Raw genomic sequence first — 27,196 nt, 5'->3', positions numbered from 1 at the left:
TTTTCTCTCTTCTTCATAACAGGATGAATTAATTGTGCTCAAAACAGCTTCAGGTTCATGCAATCTAAGCTTCTTATTTCAAAGATAAGAACAGTAAGTCCCAGATAAGCTATGTACCATGGTCATAAAGTGGGTTTTTAGGAATTAGGCCTAGTAATTAGTTTTGCAGATATTCACCAAATAATTTTTTCTTTTATACAATATATTTTCTGCATTTAGAAAAGAAAATTCCCAGTTCTACCTTCATGCATATCAAGGTTTACACTGGTTATTGGCCTTGATTTTTGAACATATGTTACACAACTCTCATGCCTAAGGTTATATTCATTCAATCTATATTTTATTCAGTTTAATATTCTCCTTCCTGCCTTTCTTTTTTTTCCTAAAACTTAAGCTAACTGTATTCTATAGTTTGCATGCTCCCCTCTAAGTCCCTTTTCCTACTTACAGACCTCTTGCCTTCCTAATATTTCTAATTAATCTTAGGAAGATATGTTGATCAATCTACATAACATTATATTCTATTTTCTCCCTATTTACTACTTTAATGTTAATGCTTGAAGAGTCTTTTTTTGTAAATTTCTTTCAATTTTTGCTTCAGTGGATTTATTTCTTGGTAGATCTAGATGGATACAGTGATCTGCCATTAAACCCTGAATATAATAATCCAATAAAAAGTATTCAAAGGAAGTGATGCATAAGCATTTTGGAGAATGACTGGATGCAACAAACAAATATAACCAAGCCTTTGTCATCATAAAATGATGGGGAAGGATGGAGTAGTACTTGAAATAAAGTATTTGGTTAAATATATACTACTGATAAATAGAACTGTTAAAGAAAATTTAAAGGGAGCACAACTGAGTTTCAATCTTATTATATAATTTCTATCCATTTCTCAGAGGACTTTTTAAAAAGTGAAATTAAGTAAACTACTAATGGAATATAGAGTGTTAGGCAATAAAATTAATTTACTACTTCGGGCCTATTATTTGAAGCTATTCTTCTCTGGGGTTCTCATGTTTATATTTTTAATTTAAAGTATTTCTAATAATCCTGCGGGAAATGAGCGATGTTTATATATAATTAAATTAAGCTCTAAATGTTTTATTAATTAGGTAACTGATTGTGAAGACAAAATAGTGTTATACAACACAGAAAGAGTGAGTTCAAATGGAAAATCTACTAGGCTGAGACTTCACAAGACTTGACAGCAATTCCCAACGGCTACATTTTCTTGCAGTAATTTCGTGTAACTTTAATTTAGTTGTACTGCAGTGAGGGGATCTTCAGTCTAAAACTGGGTTCCAGGAATGCTGCCCACTGGGTATCTCCCAGGGAAATTGATAAGCTTTTAATCTATATATCAATACTTACTTACATGTAAACATCACAAATTGTGTATGAAATACATTCAGCCCCCAACATCTGTACTAGTTGTATTAATAAAATATATATAAATCACTATTAAAAATAAAATTCGTTCCAATAACAATGCTATTCAATACATAGAAGTTGAAAGGGTTTAAAATTACTACATTTTAGAAAATTTGTTTTATTTGTTGTTGTTTTTGTTTTTTTGTTTTTTGAGATGAAGTTTCCCTCTTGTTGCCCAGGCTGGAGTGCAATGGCGCGATCGCGGCTCACTGCAACCCCTGCTTCCCAGGTTCAAGTGATTCTCCTGCCTCAGCCTCCCAAGTAGCTGGGATTACAGGTGTGTGCCACCAAGCCCAGCTAAAACATGATTAAGAAATAGAAACTGCTGAACATGATTAGGAAATAAAGAACATGTTTTGATAAATATAGTATCTGAACCTTAAAAGGTTAATACTTATAAAAATAATTATATTTATAAAGGAAAAATTTATAAACTGTAAATTCTCTAAAAAATGATAGAAAGAGTGTAAAAAAGTCAGTTTTAAATTTTTTTGAAAACTAAGCAGGCATCATTAAACACAGAAGCATGAAAAATTCATTGTTGAGAATTCTTTAATTTTTCCATCAGCTTTTATTCTTAAATTTTAAATTCTTTTTTAATATCAGAAGCCATTACATTAATATTGCTGAAAAAGGAGTAAATATAAATAAAATGTTACCTTACATGGCAAATAAATTCACATACTGAATTATATAGATTTTTTTAAAAGTAGTCAGAATTCATATGTTAAAGAAAAATAAGCAGGAAATTAAAATGGAGATGTGTAAGTATGATCAAAGAGCAAGGTTCTTTTTTCTCTTTTTTTTTAGTAGAGCCACACCACCACCTACTGGCCATTGCGAGCCAGTAGCGCCAGGCTTGACATTTAAAAAATATTCTTAGTATACTTTGAATTGTAGCTTCTGACCCTTGACACACAAAAAAAGCAAAAAAAAAATATATATATATAAAAATAGATAAAAAGCATTGTTTTATTCATTATCATTAGTGTATGAATCATTACCCTTAGATATACTTTCCTGATATACAAAATGTTTGCAATCAGCACAGTAAAATTGCTTATTAAATACACTCCCTTTTGGAAGACATTTGAGAAAAAACAGCTACTATAAAATAAGTGTGCATTTTTAAACTATACTACCTAATTTTTTACCTTATTGTAGGTCACATTCTTTTATTAACAGAGTACATTTCTAAACATGAAACTCCATAGAAATACATACAAAATCCTGCAAAATATATGTAAACTCGTCATTGTTTAGAAAGCATTTGATTTCAAATATATCTTTACATTTGATCTATTCATTATTCAATTGAATTTTTTTTGGTTTTTGATTTGGGTTGACTGAATAAACAACCTCCTAGGCATAAAGAAATACTATGTGTAAATAACATTGTTCTTTCATAAAACATTCTGATTGTAGTGAAGTTGGATTCATGCCCAGAATCCTCAACATTTTAAAAGCATTTAAATAGAATCCTATTCTAATGTGTCCATAAACTGTGAGCCCTTTTAAATCCTCTTTTGGAATGATTAAAACTAGTGGCCAATAAAAGGCAAATCTGAATTATTACCTAATGAATGGTGGAAATAAATAGTTGGCTAATCCACTTTTTTCCCAAATGGGAGTGATATTATCTTCGGAGATTTTAGCATATTTACTTAAAACGATTAGTAAAATATTCTCATATAAAATAAGATGGATAAAATATTATTGACCTTTATTTCTTTACCCAGAATAGAAGTCATGCCAATTCAATTATTTCTCAATTTAAACACAGAGTGGATTCCACCAGATATGATATTCTCAAAGCAAAGTAATACCATTTAATGTCTCTGACTTTGCCTGGCACACTCAGAGGTCTAACCCTCCTTTAGAATAACCGGATGGTCCCTAAACCAAATAAAGTTAGAGAAGGGTTGTTTCTCCAAAAATACGAGAGCAACTATAGAGAATAACATTTAACTGTGTAAAAAAAAAAAGTAGTGATAATGTGTATTTTCTTATATGATAAAGCTGAGAATTCTGTTGAAGGAGTTTTGTAAATTTCAAAAGCTCAGTGACAACAATGTCCTTCGAGATGCGGAACAATTAGAAAAACATGGTGTGTAGCATCTTATGTAAGATTTTCTCAGGAAACTTGTTGACTAGGATATGTGGGGTTGCTTATTAAATGTCCTTCTCTCCTCTCTTAGTCTCACCAGTTTCCCCATGGCTACTTACGGACATTGCCAGATCCTGTTGGACCTGTAGATTAGGAAATCTTTAACATACAGTGTCACTGCAAAATTCTGGCTGGAATCAACTCTGACTCCACATTTTTAACTGGTGGATATTATATCTTAGCTTTTAAAGACAGTTGTTATGCCATTACTAGCTTTTGATTTGGGACATAGGTTCACATTATCCAAGCAAAGTAAAGGCAAGCTACAAAACAAATATTCAAGACACACTGCCATAAAATATTATTTTTAATATGACACATTATACCTTAGAAAAATGTGAACAGTATGCCATATTTTAAACACAATTTTGTGTACATGTTTGTTATTAAAAATGTTTCCTTGATATGATTACATTTGTTCAATAGTTCATTTTTAATAGGGTGAAGCTATACCTGCAGCAAAGCTGTTCATGCTTTGATCTCCATCAATCTGCTGAAAACATGACAGAGTCAATACACTTGTAATTTATTTGAAGGCCTTTCCCTACCTTTAGTTTCCTTACAGCATCTCTCACAACTTCTGTTCCTTTTGGCTGTTCCACTTCTGTACTGCCAAGAAACTGAAAATGGTCATTTGTGAGACACAGGCTTTTACCATATCATATATCATTGCATCATGTTGAAATATAAGATTGCATAATAGAATGGTTTAATAGTAATGCAAACTCATATGTTAATTAAATAGAATTATTATTTTATATTATTTTTATATTATATGAAAATGTAACTAAACTTTATCATTTATACTTCCTGTTAATCAAAGATTATTTTTAAAAACATACTTGTTTTCTAAATATTTTACTTGTAGATTTTTACTGGAAAGAAAACTAAAGTTATTTTATTAGGCCCAAGGGAATAATGTTGATCTCAACAGTTAAAATTTAGTAAACTTATTAGTAATTAAAAATTATTTTTCATTCAAAGCATGTAATTGTATTTTGTTACTATATTTAACATCAATAGTAAATTTCAAAGTTTACAATTTCTTTTTTTTCTCACGTCTCTCCCCACTTGCCTCTGCCTGCTGATGCCAAAGATTTCGCCATTAGCTTTTTTTTTCAAGTAAACATTTTTCTTTGTTTTCCACTTATGAGACTCATCTAACATGTAGAATTTAAAATACAAGCTTCTTTTAATAGCCAAGATATACAACTAAGTAAAGCTATAGTTAAAGAAATAAAACATACATGATCTACAATTGTACTGTTTTTTGGTTTTGTTTTAGTTTGGTTTTGTTTTTGAGACGGAGTCTCACTCTTTCGCCCAGGCCAGAGTGCAGTGGCGCTATCTCGGCTCACTGCAAGCTCTGCCTCCCGGGTTCACGCCATTCTCCTGCCTCAGCCTCCCGAGTAGCTGGGACTACAGGCACCCGCCACTGTGCCTGGCTCATTTTTTGTATTTTTAGTAGAGATGGGGTTTCACCGTGTTAGCCAGGATGGTCTCGATCTCCTGACCTCGTGATCCGCCTGCTTCCACCTCCCAAAGTACTGGGATTACAGGCATGAGCCACCACACCCGGCCAATTTTACTGTTTTAAATAAACCTGAAGGTAGTCAGTAAGTGATATGGTTTGACTGTGTCCTCACCCAAATCTCATCTTGAATTGTAGCTCCTGTAATTCCCATGTGTTATGGGAGGAAACTGGTGGGAGGTAATTGAGTCACAAGAGTGGGTCTTTCCCATGCCGGTCTCATGATAGTAAGTCTCATGAGATCTGATGGTTTTATGAAGGGGTATTCCCTTACACAAGCTCTCTTGCCTGCTGCCATGTAAGACATGACTTTGCTCTTCCTTCATCTTCTGCCATGATTTTAAGTTTGCTGAGGTCTCCCCAGCCCCGTGGAACTGTGAGTCAATTAAACCTCTTTCCTTTATAAATTACCCAGTCTTGGGTATGTCTTTATTAGCAGTATGAGAACAGACTAATACAGTAAGTGTGTTTAAGTAAAACCTGACCAATCCAAAAAGTGAAAAAAGTTTCATAATAATTATCACACTGCAATAAAATCTCTACCTTGGAAAGATATAATACCTCCTAAACAGAAGTCTAGTATCACTAAATGTTCAATACCAATTAGAATTGAAATATACAGGTTTTATTCTAGAAAAAATTCTATATATAGGGCAAACAAACATTAAATTCATGAAATATATGTAATTTTCCAAAGATTTTTTTTTGCTCTTGTGACATACCACCAATTATAAGACCAAAGAGATTCACGAATTAATCACTTCTCCTATGTATAGACATAGGAGAATACGTGTTTGTAAACTACATCAAAAATTCCATAAGTGGAATCTTTTTCATGTATTAACTTACAGAATAGAAGGGAAAATACAGTAAAGTCATGCTATCTCTTATTCCTTCCTTCATTCTTGAAAAAAATAATCACTAAGGAAATTAGAGTTTTGATTTTCAAAATGGGTTCGCTGCACAACTGGCATGAAAATTACCTAGAGCGTTGGTTAAAATGTAAAAATACATGTTCCTTGGTCAAATAAATCAGAATCTTTAGAGGTAGGGCAAGCGAATTATATTTCTGGAAGCATTGCAAGTGACTCCTTGTACCAAAGTCTAAAGAACAGAGTTAGAAACAGTTAACAGGCCATGAGGATAGTGGAAGGTAGGTACAAAGATGAGTTGAAAATACAGGCAACAACTGGTGTTCCCTTTCTGATGAACAAATGGAGGCTAGAGAGTAAAGCTCAGTTGCACTGAGGCAAAGAGAAGTTTCACTTTTCAGATTCTGTAAGGGACAACAGTTACTTTTTTTTTTTTTTTTTTTTTAGATGGAGTCTCGCTGTGTTTCCAGGCTGGAGTGCAGTGGTGCAACCTCGGCTCACTGCAACTTTCAACCCCTTGGTTCAAGCGATTCTTCTGCCTCAGCCTCAGCTGGGATTACAGGAACGCGCCACCACGCCCATGTAATTTTTGTATTTTTAGTAAAGACAGAGTTTCACCATGTTGGCCACGGTGGTCTTGATCTCCTGACCTCGTGATCCACCCACCTCAGCCCCGCAAAGTGCTGGGATTACAGGTGTGGGCCACCACGCCCGGCCAATAGTTCCTTTTTTAATATGCTTGAAATATACCAAATTGTTAAGAGGCCCTAGATAAGATATGAACAGGCTTTCAGTTTGCCTCACTGTGACCTCCAGTTGTTGGTTGACCAGGCATACATAAAAGACCAAAGTGAATGAGAAATTTTAAGCAGAAAAAGAAATGAAATCCTGCTATCAAGATTGGAAGACAGCCAAATCTATTCCTGACACCAATGGAGCTGTCACATTTCTCCAGTTTGGGATGAGTGTTTTCAAACTTGATTGAATGACAGAATCATAGGGGCGTTTTAGCCAGGTGCAGTGGTTACGATATGGTGCTTTAATATGCAACCTGTAGTTTCAGCTACTCAGGAGTTTGAGGCAAGAGATCTGCCTGAGCTCAGGAGTTTGAGGGCAGCCTGAGCAACACAGTGAGGCCCTGTCTCAATTTAAAAAAAAAGAGAAAGAATCATATTGGAAGCTATAATCTTATTACTATTGCCTGCAAGTCTGATTTGACTAGCCTGGGTCAGAGTCAGGCCATCTATATATTTTAAAGCTCCCTAAGCGATATTAATGTGCCACCAGGTTTGAAAAGCACTGTTTCAGATCATCCAGAAAGGAAGAAGAGTTCAAGTAACTGAAGAGGATTTAACATAATAGAAACTATTTAGTTCTGAATACATCCCTGGGGTAAACAGTTCTCAACTTCTCTGAATTTATCATATCACTGCGATTAGTGGATGGTCTAGGATTAGCAGGAGCAGAGAAGCAAAGATGGATCCTTTATGGGGAAGTAATTATTGAACTAGAAGAAGGAAGGGTCTGGTCTATCAGTAATAGACTATAAGTTTTACTGGCAGTATTTCTGGAGGAATATTCAAACTTCAGCAGGAATGTCATGAGTCAAAAGTATTATATGCAAATAAGGCCATAGGGGAAAAATATGGAAGAACTCCAAGTATATTTGAAATGAATCAACCTCTAGCTGTGCTCCAGGAAACCTTTTAACATGTTTATTTCACATTAGCTTTAATTAAATCCTTTGTGTAATGCAACACTGGGAGAAGCCTTGAGTGATGGTGGGTATTAAATTAAAATATATCTTAATATGGAGCACTCTACTTAACCCAACTTTTTCTTATGTAATGTTAGAAAACCTATAGGACAATCATGCTAAAACTAAAAAAAGTTTATGCCTTATACTTCCTGTATTTTTTTAATTACAAAAAATCATGATATATAGATTAAATAATTCATATTTATGTGCATTTCTTACACCTATCTAAAATACTTATAAAACTCTTAGATATGAGGTAGCATGTTAGAACAAGCTCGAGATTTAGAATCTGAGAATGTTAGGAAAGTCCCCTAATTTCTGCCTTGTCTGACTCTTTTGAAAGATAGAGATAATAAATGCTGTTCTTCTCTCCTGAAAAATCATTCTAAAGAGAAATTGCAGTAAGAGATGAAAAAAAGAAAACCTCTTTAAACTACAAGTTGTTTATGAGGGATTGCCATTCCCTTATCAAATGATTGTTAGGGGAAGATACTAGGGTTTAGTGGACACAACTGGTGCCTGCTCAGTTCTCCTGGGATCCACTTTATCAACTCAGAGACCCATCTTCCAGTTTCCACATGCTTTGCTGGTAATGACTCACACTCAAGACCTCCAGAGTATTCCTTTTGGGCAATGAAGTCAAAGTCACCTTGCCAGTATTGAGAGCTAGAAGCATATGGGAGTTTCTTTTCATCCCTCCCATACCCACACCACCCCATCATCACATTCCTTAGCCAACGACTGACTTGGCTAAGGAAAGTCAGCCAAGTCAAGTTTTGTAACTCCACAAGTTTTGTGGAGGTACAAAAGCCCAGCTTATTTGTTTGGAGGTGAGGTAAACGCTAAGGTATAATGTTATGATGCAGAGCTTACCATGGAATTAGGCTAATGCTGTGGCTCCAGCTGATGTCTACTCTTCCTTCATTTTTTCTTCTTGTCGGCTCTGCTTTTTCTACTCATTTACTGATTTCTTCTGGGAGCACCCCCTTAATAAATCATATGCACTTAAATCTTTTGCCTTGGGATTTATTTCTGGGAGAAACTGGCCTAAGACACTGGTTAAAGGCTTAAATGCTTACATTCCAGGGACATACAGTCTAGTATATAAACCCATAAATAACTGTCCTAAGTGCCATCAAAAGGCTTGTACAAAGTATACAAACTTTGATTTTTATCTTTTCCACTCTGCCTGGTTCCTGGAGGGTGAAACAAAAAAAAGGAATCATGCCGTGACCAGGGAATTAATTCACCCTATCCCAACAGAAGAGTTGTTAACTATCTGAAGAATTAGGCCGGGGACCTCTGGGCTGCAAAATGCTAGTAAGCATGGCTGGGAGCAGAAGTGAGGCACCTAACTGACAAAGATACTAAGCAGAAGTCCACATGCAGGATTGAAAGTTCCCCTAGACTCTTTTCTCAGCCTGGCTCCCAGGATACTAGCTGCTAATCTTATAAGCCTCCAAGCAGAAGAATTTTTCCCTGAGGAAAACAGACCGAGGAAAACAAGACAACCTATGCTGACAGTTAACGTTTCCATGTGAAATAGATGGGTCACCTGATCAGTCAGCAGATGACAAGCCCTGCTCAAGTCCACAGAACCGCCAGTTGGCTTTTGAGTGAGTCGATCTTAAATATCAAAACACAGCAAGTATGTGAATATATTCGAGAAAAGCCTCTCACATGAAAAGACTGGGGGAAAAAAAACAGCAACAAAAGGAATGGTTAGAAAAGTAGAGGGAGCGCAATAAAAAAAATGATGGCTAATACTCTACAGTCAATATAGATATATTGCATTCATAATAAAACCAGGATGCTAGAAAAAGTAGCACATAAAGAACAAAAGAGAATTGACAGAAATTTAAAAATATGACTCAGGTAATTAAAAAATGATAATATTAAAAAATAAAGTTAGAAAAAATTATAAGAAGTAATTATTAAATGCTTACAATTTTTCAGGTTGTATTTTAGGAGTTAAGAATACAGCAGAGAGGTAATACATTTGTTAATTAGCTAGATTTAACCATTCCACAATGCATATATACTTCAAAACATACAGAATAAAAACATACAATATTATCTGTTAATTAAAAAAAAATAATGTTTTATTAAATGCACTGAAAAAACAAATTTCCCTGCCCTTATGGAACTTACATCCTAGTGGGTGAGCCAAACAATATTAATAAGAATAAGTGAATTATATGCTACTTAGAACTGGTGGAAGTCAGAGTATGTGACTGTGTCTGCTTTCTGTGTCATACCATTTTAAATAGGATGTTCAGAGGAGATGTCACAGATAAGGTGAAATGTAAAACAATCAGAAAGGTAGATATTTGGGGAAATGCAGGCCAAGGAAAGGAAACAGAGAGTGCAAAAGCCAGATATTTAAAATAAGATACGAACTAGAACAATTGAAGAATTGGTCTAGAATAGTGTTTTTCGAAATTTGGTCCAAGGACTTGTAGCATCAACTACCATAACTAGGAAATTGTCATAAATACAAATTCTACTCAATCAGAAACTGGGAGTGAGGCCCAGCAATCAGATTTAATATCTTCTACAGGTGATTCTGATGCATGCCTAAAGGTGAGAACCTGTTTTAGGAGAGCCAACATTAAACCAAATAGAGTCCTAGAAATAGAGAAGAGGAAAAACTAAAGGATAGAACACTATCAATCACTTTCCCAGAACCAAAGGTATAAATTTTCAGATTAAGGGACTCAATGTTATATTAATGAGTGAAAACAAATATACAAGCACAAAGAGGCTTACCATCAAAGCACTAGAGATTGAAAAAAAATCACAAAAGATTCCAGAGAGAAACAAACAACAAAAAATAAAACAAAAACAAAACCCAGAAATATGAATGACATCAGACTTCTTCACATCAGCAATAATGGAAGAAAGTAACTTCAAATTCTGAGGGAAATGATAATTTTGAACCAAGTTTCCAGGCTATGAGGAAAGAAAAATTCATACTGAGATGTGCAGAGGCTCAAAAAATTGCCTGCCATGTCCCAGTTCTCAGTAAGAAAAGAAGGAACTAAAATAAAACAGAGGGAGTAATGAGCCCAGGAAACAGGGCAGATATGTCAGGAGGGTGTTGATGGCCACTACAGATATGACGAATAAAAGCACAGCAGTACAACACTTTATCCAGAATAGAATAAAATAACAAAAGACAGGAAAGCAAAATGCAGTTGCTTCAGTGAGTGAGGCTTAGGAGAAGGGCTAGAGAAGGTTTTGTTTTTTAATTTTTTCATTATAAATTTTGGAGAAATATTTGACTATTTTAAATGGACATAGATTATTTGATAAAATAAAAATGAAATTAAGCCCCCAGAAGATAACCTGTTAATTTAACATATGCTCATTTATTCCTTAAAATATTTTTGAGTATTTACTATCAGTCTAGCATTTACTAAGTGCTGGGTAGCGATCAGGTAAAAATGTCCCTGTATTCATGGATTTTATCCTCATGAGTGTGTGTGTGTGTGTGTGTGTGTGTGTCTGTGTGTGTAAGTGTGTATGTGTATCTATGTCTATTTTATGTCTAGATCACAGACACACATATTATATTTTGATCACACAGATGGACTGGGCAGAGTGTGGGTAATATTTAAGAAAGAGTCATCAGTTCTCTCTAAAAAGGTGGCATATTAATAAGATGTAAGGAAGAAATGAAACATACACTCAAGCATATTAAGGTTAACATGACTCTGACGTGCTCACTAGAGATACCAGACTCAACAATTGGGTATACAGTGCTGGAGTCTGAGGAAGAAGAATTCTGAAGAGAACATGTGGATTCGGGAGATCCTGGCACAAAGGTCTCAATGAAAGGCTGAGAGATTGAAAAGAGCGCCAGCATCCTGGGTCCTCAGGTAGCTGCCATATTTCAGAGGGAGATGGAAGAGAATAATGCTGCAAAGGGGAATAAGATGAGTGTTCAAGGAAATGGCAGGGGGAATCATGCAAGTGAGACATTAATACTCCTGAATGCGGTTGCCAGATATAGCAAATAAAATTACAAGATGTCACTGCTGGTAGGAATGTAAAATGGTACAGCCAATCTGAAAAAAAAAATGGTTTGGCAGTTTCATTTCAAACTAAATGTGGACTTACCATAAGATGCAGCAACTGCACTCTTGAGTATTTACCTCAGAGAAATGAATACTAATGTTCAAGTAAATGTCCTGCACGGATGTTCATTGTAGCTCTCTTTGTAATAGCTCAAAATCAGAAACAATCTAATTGTCCTGCAATGAGTGGATTCTTAAACAATGGTACATCTATACCATGGAATACTACTAAGGTATAAAAATGAATGAATTATTGATAAACAAGACAAGTTAGATGGATCGAAAGGGAATTTTGACAAATATTAAAAGCTAATCCCAAAAGGTTTATTTTTTATTGCTATTTACCTGAAAGAGGCATACAGGAATATTTCATTGACAGTCTCTTAAAAATGGGACACTGGTATATTCAACATTATTTAAAATTGTGTAAAAATACTCATTTTTATGTTTTGCAACTTTATGTCTTAATTCCTCCATGTGAGAAAACAAAAAAAATTAGCAATGATGAAAAAAGGAGTATAATGTTTCAGACTATTTTGCTTCATACAATTAGATTCAGTGTTATTTTTCACTTTGGCAAAGAGCAAAAGAAAAAAGTTATGTGTTGTCTGGCAAGTGATATTTGTTCCTGCATTTTTTTCTTACTTAAAGTGTTCAGGGTTTTATTTATTTATTTATTTTTTCTGTACAATAAGTCCTCACTTAACAGCATCAATAGGTTCTTTGAAACTGCAACTTTAAGCTGAAGGACATATAACACAACCAATTTTACCATAGGCTAACCGATATAAACAACAGTTAAGTTCCTACACCATATTTCTGGTCACAAAAATATCAGCAAACTTCTAAATAAAGACCGAAATACTTCCAATGTTAAACACCAAAATAAATGTGAGCTATACATACATTTAAGAAAGATCAATAGAAACAAGTAAGATAATTGTTTACTCAATTGTTTTAGCTCAGGGTCCCAGGTGGCAGGAGCCTTGCCCGATAGCTCGGGGCAAAGCTGGAAACAGCCCTAGACAGGACGCCACCCAGTGGCAGGGCGCACACACACACACACACACACACACACACACACACACACACACTCAGAAGGGGACCATTTAGACAGATCAGTTACCAAACCTGCGCATTTTGGAATATGGGAGGAAACAGGAGTACTCAGAGAAAACCCACGCAGATATGGGGAGAACCTGAAAACCCCACACAGACAGTAGCCCTGTCTGGGAACTGATATTTTTTTTCTCATCAACCTTATAACCAATAACATGGAATAAAACAACATTGAATCAAAGAGTGTTATTCAAGGCCCTGCTGTAAATCCAAATAGACAAAATTTATTACGGTGAATTTTTTTTTAAGAAATATCAGGCCATAGAGTTTACATGAGTACAAGTGTGTGTCTTGCACAATTGTGTGCTTGTGCCTGGAAAATGCAACAAGGTTTTTCTGTTTATTTATGAATAAATACGTTAATTTTAATATTAATATATGTTCACTAAGAAAAATGAGAACACTCCAGAAAATGTATCAATGAAAATAAGCATCAACTTTTACCTCACAGCCAAGAAGTGGCTTTCTTAAAAATATTGCACATTATCTTTTCAATTTACATTAAAATAAAAGTGATCGGCCAATGACAATATTAAGCAAACCTAACAAAACCTCATCAATTACTATATAATTTGGCATTATTGTGTAAATATGCAGGTATAAGTGATTGTATCTACATATATTGAACTTTGAGATTAAAACATTGAATATGACTCCCAAGCAAAATGGACAGATAAGAATGATATAAAACACAGATGGGAAATTTAGAATATTAGATTATAAAAGGTAAGATGTAGTCATTGATCTAAAAATGTTTTGTGTATTATTAGTCTATATAATGAAAGTTATAACAGCATGGCATATAGTTCGTCAGATTTTACAAACTAGTAAATGTCTTTTTTAAATCTTCTATAAAGACTCTGATAAATACAGAACAAGTTTCTGATACTATAGATATAATTTTATATTCAACATAAATACTCCACCCCATGTATCTCTCCACTCAATGTATTTGAATACTTATTGTTTAGGCAGATGTACAAAAGACAGCATTTTACAGGCTGCAGTCTGCTGAAATTAAATCTATAGAAATGTTATCAAACTTGCTATTGTAAACAAAATATTTACCTTGGTGACTCTTAAAATGCTAGTAAGATATGTCGTATTTGGTTAATATTTTCCAAAATTCCTATAATTATTTTTCAAATAGTTAAAATGAAAACAAAGACTTCTCTTTTAAGCTAATTTCCACAAGTGATGTCTATATTCATTTCTTCCATTCTTTCACTGTATTCTATTTAACAAAATGTGTGGAAGTTTGAGGATTCTACCCTCGTTATCAAATATTATTCAAAATGGAAGATTTTTTCACTTGAAAGGCTGAATAGTTGTTTTATAACTTGCTTCTTTGCCAGTAGAGAGCAGTGTTGGACATCATATGGACTCATTTAGAATATCTGCTTTCCTTCCTCAAATGTTTCAGAATCACTATGAATAATGTAGGACTGTTTTTAAATATCAGAAAAATAACAATTAAATAGCTAAAGAGTTACGAAGTCTAACTGCTATGAAATTTGACAGTATTTAACATACAAAGGACATCATTTATAACAAAAATGTCTGGAATACACATTTTATGTATAGTAAATTCAAAATATGCCAATTTTATGTAGATAATATGTTCTCTACAGAATTACTGTAAAATATTAAGGGAGAATAATTCCTACTTTTTATAATATAAAAGTTTTATATTGCTTCAAGATTAATAAATATTGGTGGCATAACAATGAATATTCTCATTATTTTTTAAAAATGCGTATATATCTTTGTAACCAATGTTGCAGAGCCTCAAATATGATGGGACTAATTTTCTTTGAGGCAATTTGACTCCATATGTGCAAAAAAAAGGAAAAGTATTTAAGCCTGTTAGCTACTCAACTGTACCTAGTAGATAAGCTATATAGGAGTAAGCTAATTTAATTTTATAGCCTTTATTTGGCTGACTTCCTATGGTCCCATTGCCAAGCAATACAGAAAAAGCCATTTTTAAAAAGCACATCATAATAGTCATTTGCTAAAGCAGGGTCAGAATCAACTGGATTTAAACTTATTAATCAAAACTATAATCCTGAAAAAAACTAAAATAGATACACCAACAAAAGGTTATACTTTAAATTTTAAATTAAATACTCTAAAAAGGTTATCCCTTTAAAGGACAAGGAAGTTTTGATAGAAAATTTTTAAAATATGGACTGAGTATTAAAAAGTCCACATTTTATATTTAATATTTGTTCCTCATTTTATTATAACAATTATTTATTACATTGTATTTGTTCATGTTTTACATGGATATAGGGTATATTATTTTTATAGTCTCTTGTTTTAAAATACAATTTCCATGTTTAAGTCCAAACAAGTCTACTTGCTATAAACAAGAAACTGTGTTCATTGCTCAGGAGGCTCTCCCACCGAGTTTGTACCACATGGTCACACTAAGAAGCAGCGAGTTTTTGTCCTGCCTGTGGAGTCCCTCCCACACTCAAACATCCTTCACATCTGAAGAGTGAGACAGGTGGAGTAAATAGGGCATTTATCTGTATTGCTATCAACAGAAGTGTTATAAAAATAAATAAGCATCAACTTGAATAGAAAACCAAAAGCATGGGGTTTGGAGCCAGGCAAGCTTCACAATTCATTTCTCACTAGAGAATCACATGATTATAAAACACATGGGCTGTGGAAATATTCTCATGTAACTTGCATTATTTTACAGATGTGAAAACTGAGGATAGTATTACTTATCTATGCCACATCCATTTAGCTAGTTCAGATTTATGTTATATAATGTTTCTATTGTGAGAGCGGTTTAAAAACAAAGGCAGTCAAAAGAATATTCCATGTACATTACAGTCAGATAAAATGAGTTTCCGAATACTGATTCCACTGTTTCACTCTGCCTTTCATAGCCTCGCTTTCCTCATTCATAAAATAGGGAAAATCTCAGTGTTCTTGTGAGAATTAAATGAGAAAATACAACCAGCGACTAGCACAGAATGAACATTCAATGAATTTATGCTTAGAAATAAAAATGAAATAATAACAGCCACATCAAGCAAATAAAAAGAACCAACCCACCCACAATGAACTGCAAAGTAAGCAAGAATAAAAACCCTATTTTAAGCCACTAGGATTTGGGTTTTGGTTCTTGAAGCAGCTACAATCCTTACCAACACATACGCAAGTTTTTGTTGTTGTTTTTTTTTTTCCTCAAACTGGTATTGGTTACTTTCAAACATTTATTCTTCTGAACTCCCACTGTAATTTAATTTATTTGCAATTCTCATTGCAATTTAATCAGATTTTTATATAACATGAGACAAGTGGGATTTTTAGGATATCTACACATATAATATATCTCTTTGTGAGGGTCTTTTAAGTAAGTGTTTATTCTGTTTCTTAGTGAGGCTGAGTATATTTCATGCTAAATATATTCTTAGTTGCTTTATAAGTTTTGGTAAGTTAGATTATTTTTCAATTCTACTTATAACAATATATTGCTATATAAGGAATGTTTACCCAGTATGTGGTCAGCTTACCAAATTCTCTTAAATCTAGTAGTATTATTTTTTAAATTTAAGTGCGCTGGAATCTAATTATCAATAAAAGGAAATATATCTTTTTCCTCGCCAATATGGTTACTAATTATTTAATTTTCCTTGATCACAAAATTAGTTAAAAAGCAATGTTGTGCAACGGTAATAATAAGCATCTATATTTCATTCTTAATTTTCATGGAACTTACTTAAGCTTTTGACTATACAACATACTGATCATTGTTCTACTTCATGTTTAAACTTACACAAAATAATCTTCCCAAATGTACTTATGTGCCTGAACACTAAATATATTTATTTGCAGAAACCCCTGATATTTCAAGTGCCCTCTGAGCTCTCTTGAGATAAATTTATCTCTTATTTTCCCTTTTGGAGAGAAGATTCTTTAAATGCTCTAGCACCCCTCATCTTTCAGGGCTTACCATTCACAGGATTTCTCTGAGACACTGGATTATCGTTATGATTTCTATGTCCTAATCCATCTCAAAAATATTTATTGTGCATACTCTATGTATCAGGTCCTGTTTCAGATATGAGGATACATCAGTGAACAAAATAGACCCAAACCTCTGACCTGCTGCCACAGGCTACACACACATCTTCAATGACCAGAGTGCCTTATTTTTCTTACAGGTTCTTTCACTCCATTCTACCCAAAGCCTCATTATTTGAGAACAAACCAAATCAACTGCAACAAAAAGTTTTCAAATATACAATTATTGCCACAGCGTAGTTTTCTAGCTGTAAGTGATTATTGTTTGCTTTGAACTCTTAAGCCATTTTTAAGAAAACCTCCTCCCATGCTACAAGCAGAACTTATTTTTCATATTTGAATATCATAGAAAATGAGTGATCATATTAAGGGAGTCTGTTACTCAAACTCCTGTCCTCATTTTTTGTAGAAAAGGAGAAAAATCTACTCTTCAGGTCTTGATAGGTGGTGCATAGTTCTTTTGAGTGAAAAATGAGTGTGGGCTAATGATACTCCTGAAATGCAGATTTATTGATTTCTTTTAACAAACTTTCTGTCAATGATTAATACGGTCTATTTCTGCAAAGCATTGCTGTATGCAGAACTGTCATTAGTGTGCTATGAAGGTCAAAGCAAAGAAGGCTGGATCCTGTTTTACCTTCCAGGTTTAAAGATTCAACACAAGGAACCGTAAAGAAAATAAACATACAACAATAACAAAAAACACTCTGAGCTGGAACATATTGAGACAAGCTTAATGTCGGTGGCCTCCTACAGAGCCACTAGGGAGAGCAGGCTCTGCACCAGAGTAGAGCTTCTTTTATTCCACAGCTGTTTACTGAAGACCTACTGTGTACCAGGCACTGTTCCAGATACTTGAAAAGAAAGTGATGAACAGAAAAGTTAAAGATCCCTGTGGACGTGGCTTGGTGGAACTATGCAAATAAGTTTCAGAGTGACAGTCACGTGGACTTAAGCTTTGAATTCTGGCTCTGCTGCTTGCTAGGTCTATGAATTTTAATGCCACTGAACTGCAGCTTATTAGTTTATAAAATGTAGATAGATGTCCCCTGTACTTACAAGTGGGCTGTGGGAAAAAAAATTGTGTGGGTAAAGTGCCTATTGACACATAGCAGGCACTCAATAAATATTTGCTTCCAAAAGCAAATGGTGTCGAATGATGTGTCCAGGTGTGTATTATTTGGTTCCAGATCCCAAAGTAATGCTAGAATAATGGGTTTGTGGCTTTTATTCTTTTCCACAAGGGCCATTTTTTTTCTTATTATTTTATAGAGTCAATATAATTCTGTTAGTAGGCTGAAAGGAATCTGCTGGGAAGCTGGTGACTTTGGCTCACTAAATGACAGACGGGAAGACAGGAACATCAAGCATCCAAATATGGTGGGGTCCTGACAATTGTGGAGTACGGGAAAGGAGTGTAGTACTCTTTGTATAATCAACTGGGTCCATCTCACTTTAATCAGTCTGCAATCAGATACAGCTATGAGGTGATCACCTGTTTTATCTTAGCAGCTAATAAACAGCCTAATTCTCTCTTCCCCTTTTGTAAAAGTGAGGAAGTATTCTGCTTCCACTATTGCAAATCATGCTTTTGTTACAATTAGGCCAATCTTATTATAGACTTCTAAATTCAGTTTGGTAATTTTGTTTACTTTTTAAATCCCTGTTTTTTAAAGATAATTTGACTTAGTTTTCTCAACACTTGAAGTCAATTATCACTAAATAGTGCTATTTAGTAAAGTTATGTAATGCTTCACTGTAATGTTTAATGGGTTTTGTTCGAACCCTACTGTATGCTGATTCTATTTGATTTTCCTTGGCCTTTTAAAAAAATCAGTGGTAGCACATTCCTGGGCAACTTCTACGAGTATTTTTCAGCTGCCCTTTTAAATTTCTAATCCTGGTATTATCATAGACCTTTATGATTTTATTGGAACTGTTATAAAAATTTAATAGCCTGATTAGTAACTATAATCCCAAATTATATAAAAAACTTCCCTTTATATATACAGAACTATATTGCAGCATATCACTTTCTCAAAAAGAACTATACCTATTTTTCATGATATATTTGATTAATATATCAAATATTTAAGCTTGGTATTTTCAGACTACAGAACTGGTATTTGAAATGAGCCTTGACTCTGTGCACTTCCATTTATTAATTGAAATATGAACTGTGCATCTAATTGTTACATAGGAATGGTAATTAATGAACTATGTAGTTTCATTTATTAATATGTCTGAAGATTAGAGTAAACCACTTAACGTAATTTCAGTTGAAGCATTTTGTGACATGCCACTTCAGTTCCTTGATAATAATGCAAAATATAAAATACAAATACTGACTCAATTCTGAGATTAATTTGATTGTTTTCATTCAAAGTGATGCATGCTATTAAAATACACAAATAAGTGAAGTATGGGCAAGAACATAGCATTATAATAGCGTTAGAGTCATGATACTTATTCCATCTCATTTCAGGGCTAACCTAGTACAAATTTCAAAATTATGTTTGTCCATAGAAATTATGGATACTGCTTGCCACAAGCAAAAAAAAAAAAAAAAAAAGAAAACAAATGGTATTCTCTTTGCTCCAGAAACACACTCGTTTAGTGAATATTCAGGTGGAAACATCTGCACAAACCCAGGAAGCATCACTCCATAAAGCCCAATAAATTCTAGAATGGGATTTTCCTAGAGACTCTCAGAGTTACTGCCACTTAATCATGATTAACTCTTTATTTGAAGATAGATAGCATTTTATAAAGCAGGTAGTTTGGGGAAAGGCCTTTTTAAAGTCCTTGATGACATCCCATTGGAGCTGGAGGGGCCTCAGTTACTAGAACCCCATCTGTCAATCTACGCCTATAGAAATCCTGCCAGGAGCCTTCAGGAAAGAATGCAAAGTGGGTGGATGGTCTGGCAAAAGCCTAGGGCAAATGCAGGGAGAGAAAAAGTAACTTTCTCTTCTCTCAACAGTCTTAGCCACTCCACAGAAAGTGCTTTTGGCTTGCTGCTGTAAACACACTTTCTGGGAGAAGTTCAGGTTGTGGTTGGTTCTTCCCCACATTGACTGAATGTTCAATTTGTTATCAGGATAGCAAATTTGCCAATTTATCATATAAGCCATGAGTAAAACACAAATTCCCATGTAAACACTGACATTAAGGCGCTTACTTTTGTAAATTGTTATTGTCCTCAAGGACTGACTACTTACTGAATAACAAGGTCAAACTTTACTCTACATAGTGATGTAGAATTTAAGGGGAATCTGTGGAATTATGGAGATTAAGATTTGAATCTTGGCTCTGCTGTTTCTAATTGTTTTGTTATATCTACTTTGTATCCCAAGCTTGTTGCTCTTTAAAATAACAGTAGTGATATTTCTGAGGATTTCTTGAGTTAATGAGACAATGGAGTTTAGCACAGTGCTAAGGATTTAATAAGTTAGTATTTAATAGACTTGTCTCATTTATTCAAGTGGGAGAACTAAAAGTATTTTATAGATAAAAGCCAAAGAGTATCTCTAAAATTAAATTGCTCCATACTACATAATCCAGGTAGATTATAGAAAACAACTATAATCAATTAGTTTCTGGCTTTTATGTACTGATTTGAAATTATATAAATGCAAACGAGTAGGAAAATATATTTATCATTGCTAGTTCTCCCAATAATTTTAATGTCCCATTATAACTCCAGGAATTTAATTAGTGAAAATCTTAAATTTAATAGGGATCATAAAATGAATACTTACATTAGCAAGTATGCTTATGACACTGTAGTTAAAATTAAAAGACAAAAGGAGTGTATAAATAGGGCACTACTTATCAAATGTTATAGATTAAAATTTGCAGGAAATATCACACTAAAACTTTATTAGGTGCTAATTATATTGTATATATTCTTCTAGAAACTTCTTTCCTAAATTTAATAAAGTAAATTTTGATACAGTACTATAATTATATATCTGTTAAGTAGTGTAACTGTACTATGTAGATGTGTGGTGATCTCATTAATAAGGTCATGCAGTTGGTCAACTATGAGGTAAAAAAGAGGTAAGTCTGAGGCATGTTTGTTCAGTGACTATAAATTGGTTAAAGTCTGAAACTTGTCTTGTTAAATGATGCAGTTTATGAAGGTCAAGGCACAGCATTCAATAAATATATCATAAATTATTTCAATGCCTTTAATTTACTTATCTCCAGTTCAACAGACAGAAAGAGTTTACAGCAAATCATTTAACTTCTTGGTTGTGATCTTCCATATGAATAGGACTGTGCACTGATAATTCTATTACTAGCCCAGAATGGCACATCTTCACTGAATGGACCAAGGACTTGGAATGCTGTGTCTATTTGGTTGAGAATATTTTTGTACAAGGAAATCAGTACCTCAGAAGAGTGTGTGATTCTATATTTATATAGAATACTATACATTAGAATATGCTGTTGTATATTATAATATGTACATTCTATTCTGTATATTATAATATGCTTCATAGTATGGAGTTATTTGGGGGCAAACTATGAACCAAGCGTTACAAAATTAAAACAGTGAAGGAATGACTCGGGATTGTAGATGATTTCAATACAGAGAGGAAAGGTGGCATAGTTTGATAATGTGAAATTCAAAGCTGGAAAATTTTAGGGAAGAGAAAAGGAGAACATTTAATTCACCTGTTATAGCAGGTGCTACAGGATAGTTGTGGAAGGAAAACACATACCACTTCAGAGGCTACTGGGGATTTAGTGTCCTTATGAAAGAATTGGTTTTTATTCAGAGTAAGAAGCAGCAATAAGGTTCAGAAGAGAGGTTTAAGACAAAGGGTATTTTGCTGATGATTGATCTTGAATTCCCAGGGGTTCCTTCCTCAAATAAAAATATTTTAAAAAATAATTTCACTGATTAAAAAATTTTCCACTACTTCCAAAAATTTATTTAAGGTAGCTTATAACTACTCATAAAATACAGAAAGATAAAACAAATTAGCAAAATGAAGCAAAAAAAAAACAACAAAGCAAAATGGAAGAGTAGAAACAGGTTTGCAGTCAAAAGCCATATAATCTTGTAAATTTGCTAGAGATCATTCAGAAAGTAGGCTATGACTTTATTCAACAGCAGCATAAAGTAAAATAACAAACAAACAAAAAAACCAGTTAACTTATGATTCACTGTTGATTAGCTGAAATAAAAATAAAGCAGCTTCATGTATATGATGGAACTTTGATTTGCAATTGGATTAATATGTGATTTCACCAACAAAAGTGTTTGATAGTTCACTAAATTTCAAATAGCCCACTGGATATTTGTTTTATTTTTACAATAGCTATGAATATGAAAAACAGTTTCACAATTATTGTTAACCATCATTTTCTCTGCTATTGTTAAGTACTTTGGAGAAATACCTATTACTCTCTGTCAAAATGGGATAAAGAAATAACTACCTTTGCCTTTATATTCTGATCTACATAGTTGCCTGTCAAAATAACTTTCTTTATAATTGTTATAACAACATTTAATTTATAAAACCATGAAATAATTATTAGGCTTGAAATGCATTGTAGGGGTATATACACCACATAGGCAACTCAAGCCCTGCTTTAAAAATGGTTCTCCTTAGTATAGTTCCTACTTCCAGTAAACTTCCAAGCTTTTAAAAGTCCCAATGAATTTCTACAGTCATGTTTTCCAAATTGAAAATATGTGAATCATGACATCGTGTCAGTTTTATTTTTCAGACAATACATTCTTTTTAGAGCTTTCCTAGCTCTATGTTATTAATGTTGGAAGTTAGAAGTCATGACATTTCCTTCTACTGTACAGAAGAGTGACAGCTGAATTATTTCTGCTCCTTAGCTCTCCAAAGCATCATTTTTAGCATTACTTTTGAGATACTCTGTAGTACTGAATTAAGGAATGGTAATTATCAGGGAAAAAAAGTATTGGGCAGATGAAGATCAGCATTTTAAAAAGGATTGTCAAGGCTTTATTTTACTAAGTATATCTTAACCTAAAATTAAATCCAAAGAGTTAGGATACAGGTAGGTATTCTAAGAATTAATTTTAATGTATATGTGTTACTAAAGTTTTTCAGTACACAGTATTATCAAGATAAAAAAGATGGTAGCGTTACTAGTTCAGGGATTCATATGGTATTAACAAGGTAATAGTACTCTCCATCGTTTATAAGATTTGGTGTGTGTTATTACATGCAAAGTCCATGGAAGTCATGTCCATGTCTAGTTATGGTTACAAGAAAAGGAGACTGCTATGGTTTAAATCAGGGGTGTCCAATCTTTTGGCCTCCCTGGGCCACATTGGAAGAATTGACTTGGGCAACACATAAAATACGCTAACTAATATGGTTTGGTTCTGTGTCCTGACACAAATCTTATCTCGAATTGTAATCTTCATGTGTCGAGGGAGGGATCTGGTGGGAGGTGATGGATCACGGGGGGCAGTTTCCTCCATGTTGTTTTCATGATAGTGAGTGAGTTCTTGTGAGATCTGATGGTTTGGCAGTTTCCCCCTTGCTCTCTCTCTCTCCTGCCACCTTCTGAAGAAGGTGCTTGCTTCCCCTTCGCTTTCTGCTGTGATTATAAGTTTCCTGAGGTCTCCCCATCCATACAGAACTGTGAGTCAATTAAACCTCTTTCTTTATAAATTACCCAGTCTCAAGCAGTTCTTTATAGCAGTGTGAAAATGGACTAATACACTAACACAAATGATAGTGGATGAGCTAAAAAAAAATGCCGAAAAACCTCATAATGTTTTAAGAAAGTTCAAGAATTTGTGTTGGGCCACATGTGGCCCATAGGCTGCAGGTTAACAGGCTTGGTTTAAATACTGTACTCCCTCAAAGATTTTTGAAGTGTAATCTCCAGAGCAACAGTATTAAAACGTGAGACCTTTAGGAAATGATTAGGTCATGGATTTATGACTCCATACGAAGTCTTGAGGAACTAGCTAGACCTTTTATTGCCCATCTGTCCTTTCTGCCATGTGAGGACACAGCACTCTTCCCTCCTGGAGCACACAGAGTTCAAGATGCCATCTTGGAAGCAAAGACAGGATCCTTATCAGACATTAAGCCTGCCAATCCCTTGATCTTCAACCTCCTAGCCTCCAGAGTTGTGAGAAATAAATTTTTGTTCTTTATAACTTACCCAATCTCAGGTTTTTGTTATAGCAGCACTAACTGACTAAGAGACTTTCTAGGAAAACTTCTTAAGTAATTGAAACACCCAGAGATTAAATTAAATTACTGCACAATTTTATAGTGTAGAAAATATAAAGAAGGAGATGATTTCTAACATATATTAGTCACCTACTCTGTGTCACACATTGTGGGACCTGTTTTCAAATATATCTCATTTAAGAAAAACAGAAATAGGAGGTCTCAGGAAATATCAATCCATAGGTTTATAGACTAAAAGAAGACAATTTTAACCTTTTAGTAATATAGTTAATATCCAGAAGTGGGTATTACTACATAAATTATAGACATTACTTTAGAGGGAAAATGAATAATTTACTCTATAATATTCTTATAGCACTAATAATAAACATGAAATAGTATCTTTATTAAAACTAAATCCAGGCTCAAGAATGAATCCTGATAAGTTAGACAATAAGTGTTCTAAAATGTAGATAATATTTCCTTAAGAATTGCTTCACCAGCCATAGAGTAAATCAGGACAACTTACTGCCTATGGGAAAACCACCTTCCATGGATATCAGATGCAGCTCTCTCCCTTTCTGTCCCTCTTCTTACCAGTTTTATAAACATCTATTCCATCCTACTATTATCCTTCCTCCTCAATTGCCTCTTACACCGCTAGGGATATACCTATCTACTATAATTCTAATAAAGCATGACTATGTGATGTCTATGAAGTCAGTACAAATCATTAACAAATATATTTTTGAAAAAATAGTTTATCAGTTAAGGCATTAAAAAAATTAAAAATATGGCTCTGAAAATCCTGGTGCGACAGAGGTAAAAACACAAAAAGTGTTCAAGTTTGGGAAAATCAGACTGGGAGAGGAGGGGAGACAGCCTGCCTGGCTGATATGTTTTGGAAGAAGGCAGTGACAACAGGACACTTATTCTTTTCTGTTTTGGCAACTTTCAGGAATAAATTGCTAGAAACTACTCATCAGAACAGCAGGAGCATACCAAGGGGTGAGACACAGGGGCATCCTTTTTCTAAGACGCTGTGTAGTTCTATATGGCTTATATCTCAGCAGGACCAAGAGTCATCAATCCCTTTACTCTTCTTGACAATTTTTCAACCTACTCTAAGACGCGGAAACATCTTTAACAAGAGGCATTTCTACTTACATTGAAACAAAGGTCTTAGAGGTCTCATACCTGGTGGCATGCTATAGTGATTAGAAGCTCATACTCTAAAATCATGCCATCTGTACTTGAACACTACGCTAATAACAAACTGTAACTTCTGGCAAAGTATGTGTATTAGTCCATTTTTTCCACTGCTATAAAGAACTATCTGAGACTGAGTAATTTATAAAGAAAAGAGGTTTAACCCACTCACAGTTCCACGTGATGGGAAGGCCTCAGGATACTTACAATCATGGCAGAAGGCAAAAGGTGGGGCCAGGCAAGTCTTACATGGAGGCAGGAGAAAGAACGAGAGAGAGAGGAAAGTGTCACACTTTTAAGCCATCAGATCTCATGAGAACTCACTATCATGAGAACAGCATGGGGGAAACTGCCCCCATGATCCAATCACCTCCCACCGGGTCCCTCCCTTGATACGTGGGGACTATAATTTCACAAGAGATTTGGGTGAGGATACAGAGCCAAAACATATAAGTTTGTAATTTTTATAAACTTCAATGTTACTATCCATAAAATGGGAGCCATAATAGTAACCAACATAGGTAAGTACATATAGGGTCATTATAACTACAGTATCTATCTCATAGAACTGTCATGAACATAAAGACAGAATACATGCCTGACAAATTTTAAGCAGTTAACAGTGCTAGCAGGATTGTACTTGCTGCTAAAGTACTAATAGAGTTGATAAGTCAGCACAGACTAATGATCAATCTCTAACCTTTACCCAATTTGATAGAACATGGCTGGTTAGAAGATACGAATTAAGGGAAGAGAATTTGGAAAAGACCAGGGGCCCCATTGAGGGAGTATCAAGAGCCAGTGAAGAAAGGCAGAGGACTATTAGGACAAACTATATAATTTTGACTCCAAGTTTTGTTAATCATAGATGGACATTCAAAAAATCTTGATGGTGATGTCTGTACTACGCAAACATGTTCAAGAACAGCTTAAGAGAGGCATTTCTATTTCATTGGAAAACTGGTACTTATTTTAGCATAGTCAACTGTATTATAAGACCCTTGTTCCCAAAAGATTTATTTATCTAGGTGTCACCAGTACAAAAGATTATTAACATCCTACAATTTTCTTTTTACTCTCCTAAATCATCACCTTTGAGCAATTTTGATGCTTATTAACACTGCCACAGCTGGTGTGCAGGAGCAGAGAAAATTGAAACTAAAGCCACTCAATTTGTGGCTTATCATTAGCTTCCTATAAAGATTGGTAGGGAACAAGGTAGACATTATTGATCAATACAGGCTTTATCTGTGTCCCTTATTTTGCTATTTGCATCTTCCAACAGAAAGAAAGTAACCTTATATTTCCCAGTGTTTCTCACGTACATTGTGTCAAAATGCAGGTTTTCAGGCTCATTCTAGACCTACCAAATCTAAATGAGTGGACAGAAAATCTGTATTTTTAACAAGCACACCAGTATAAGACACACTGATTCATCCTAAATAAACTCAAATAAGATTAATTCTGCATATTCAATGAGAATGTTGCTCTGTGACATATGACACAAAGTATTGAAGTAGCTCTTAATCTGGCCAAGGACACATATGTCTTAGTTGCTAAAATGATTGTCTGTATTAGGATAGTGCAGAAAAGAACTAAATATATATTTTTTTAAAAGCACGTGGTAATAGGGTATCAGGTAGCAGCATTCTGTGGATTAAGAGCCAATCATTCCCGAAAACAGCTTTCTCTTTCATATATACTTCAATGCAGAAGGTTGATTTAATGTAAAATCCAAAAAAAGAGTTGTATCATAATAATAAAAATACTACCTGTATATGTTTTAACATAT

General features: G+C 34.2%; 1 protein-coding gene across 69 annotated transcripts in view; it reads right to left on the bottom strand.

Moving 5' to 3' along the window:
* GULP1 (GULP PTB domain containing engulfment adaptor 1) overlaps window positions 1-27,196 on the bottom strand; it is a 304,053-nt gene that overhangs the window by 68,947 nt on the left and 207,910 nt on the right. For 67 of the 69 annotated variants that reach the window (NR_164744.1, NR_164745.1, NM_001375929.1 and 64 more), the window contains one exon: window positions 4,153-4,224. The exons of the other annotated variants lie outside the window; for them this stretch is intronic. Coding sequence is in view for 65 of the 67 variants with exons in the window: in NM_001375929.1 (NP_001362858.1) it covers window positions 4,153-4,224 (72 nt within the window). In the remaining 2 variants the exon portion in view is untranslated. The remainder of the gene's footprint in view (window positions 1-4,152; window positions 4,225-27,196) is intronic. 69 annotated transcript variants of the gene reach the window in all.

This window comes from Homo sapiens, chromosome 2 (assembly GCF_000001405.40).
Source record: "Homo sapiens chromosome 2, GRCh38.p14 Primary Assembly".
Taxonomy (NCBI): domain Eukaryota; kingdom Metazoa; phylum Chordata; class Mammalia; order Primates; family Hominidae; genus Homo; species Homo sapiens.
Note: the sequence above shows the minus strand (reverse complement) of the source record. Positions and strands in the feature narration are given on the sequence as shown.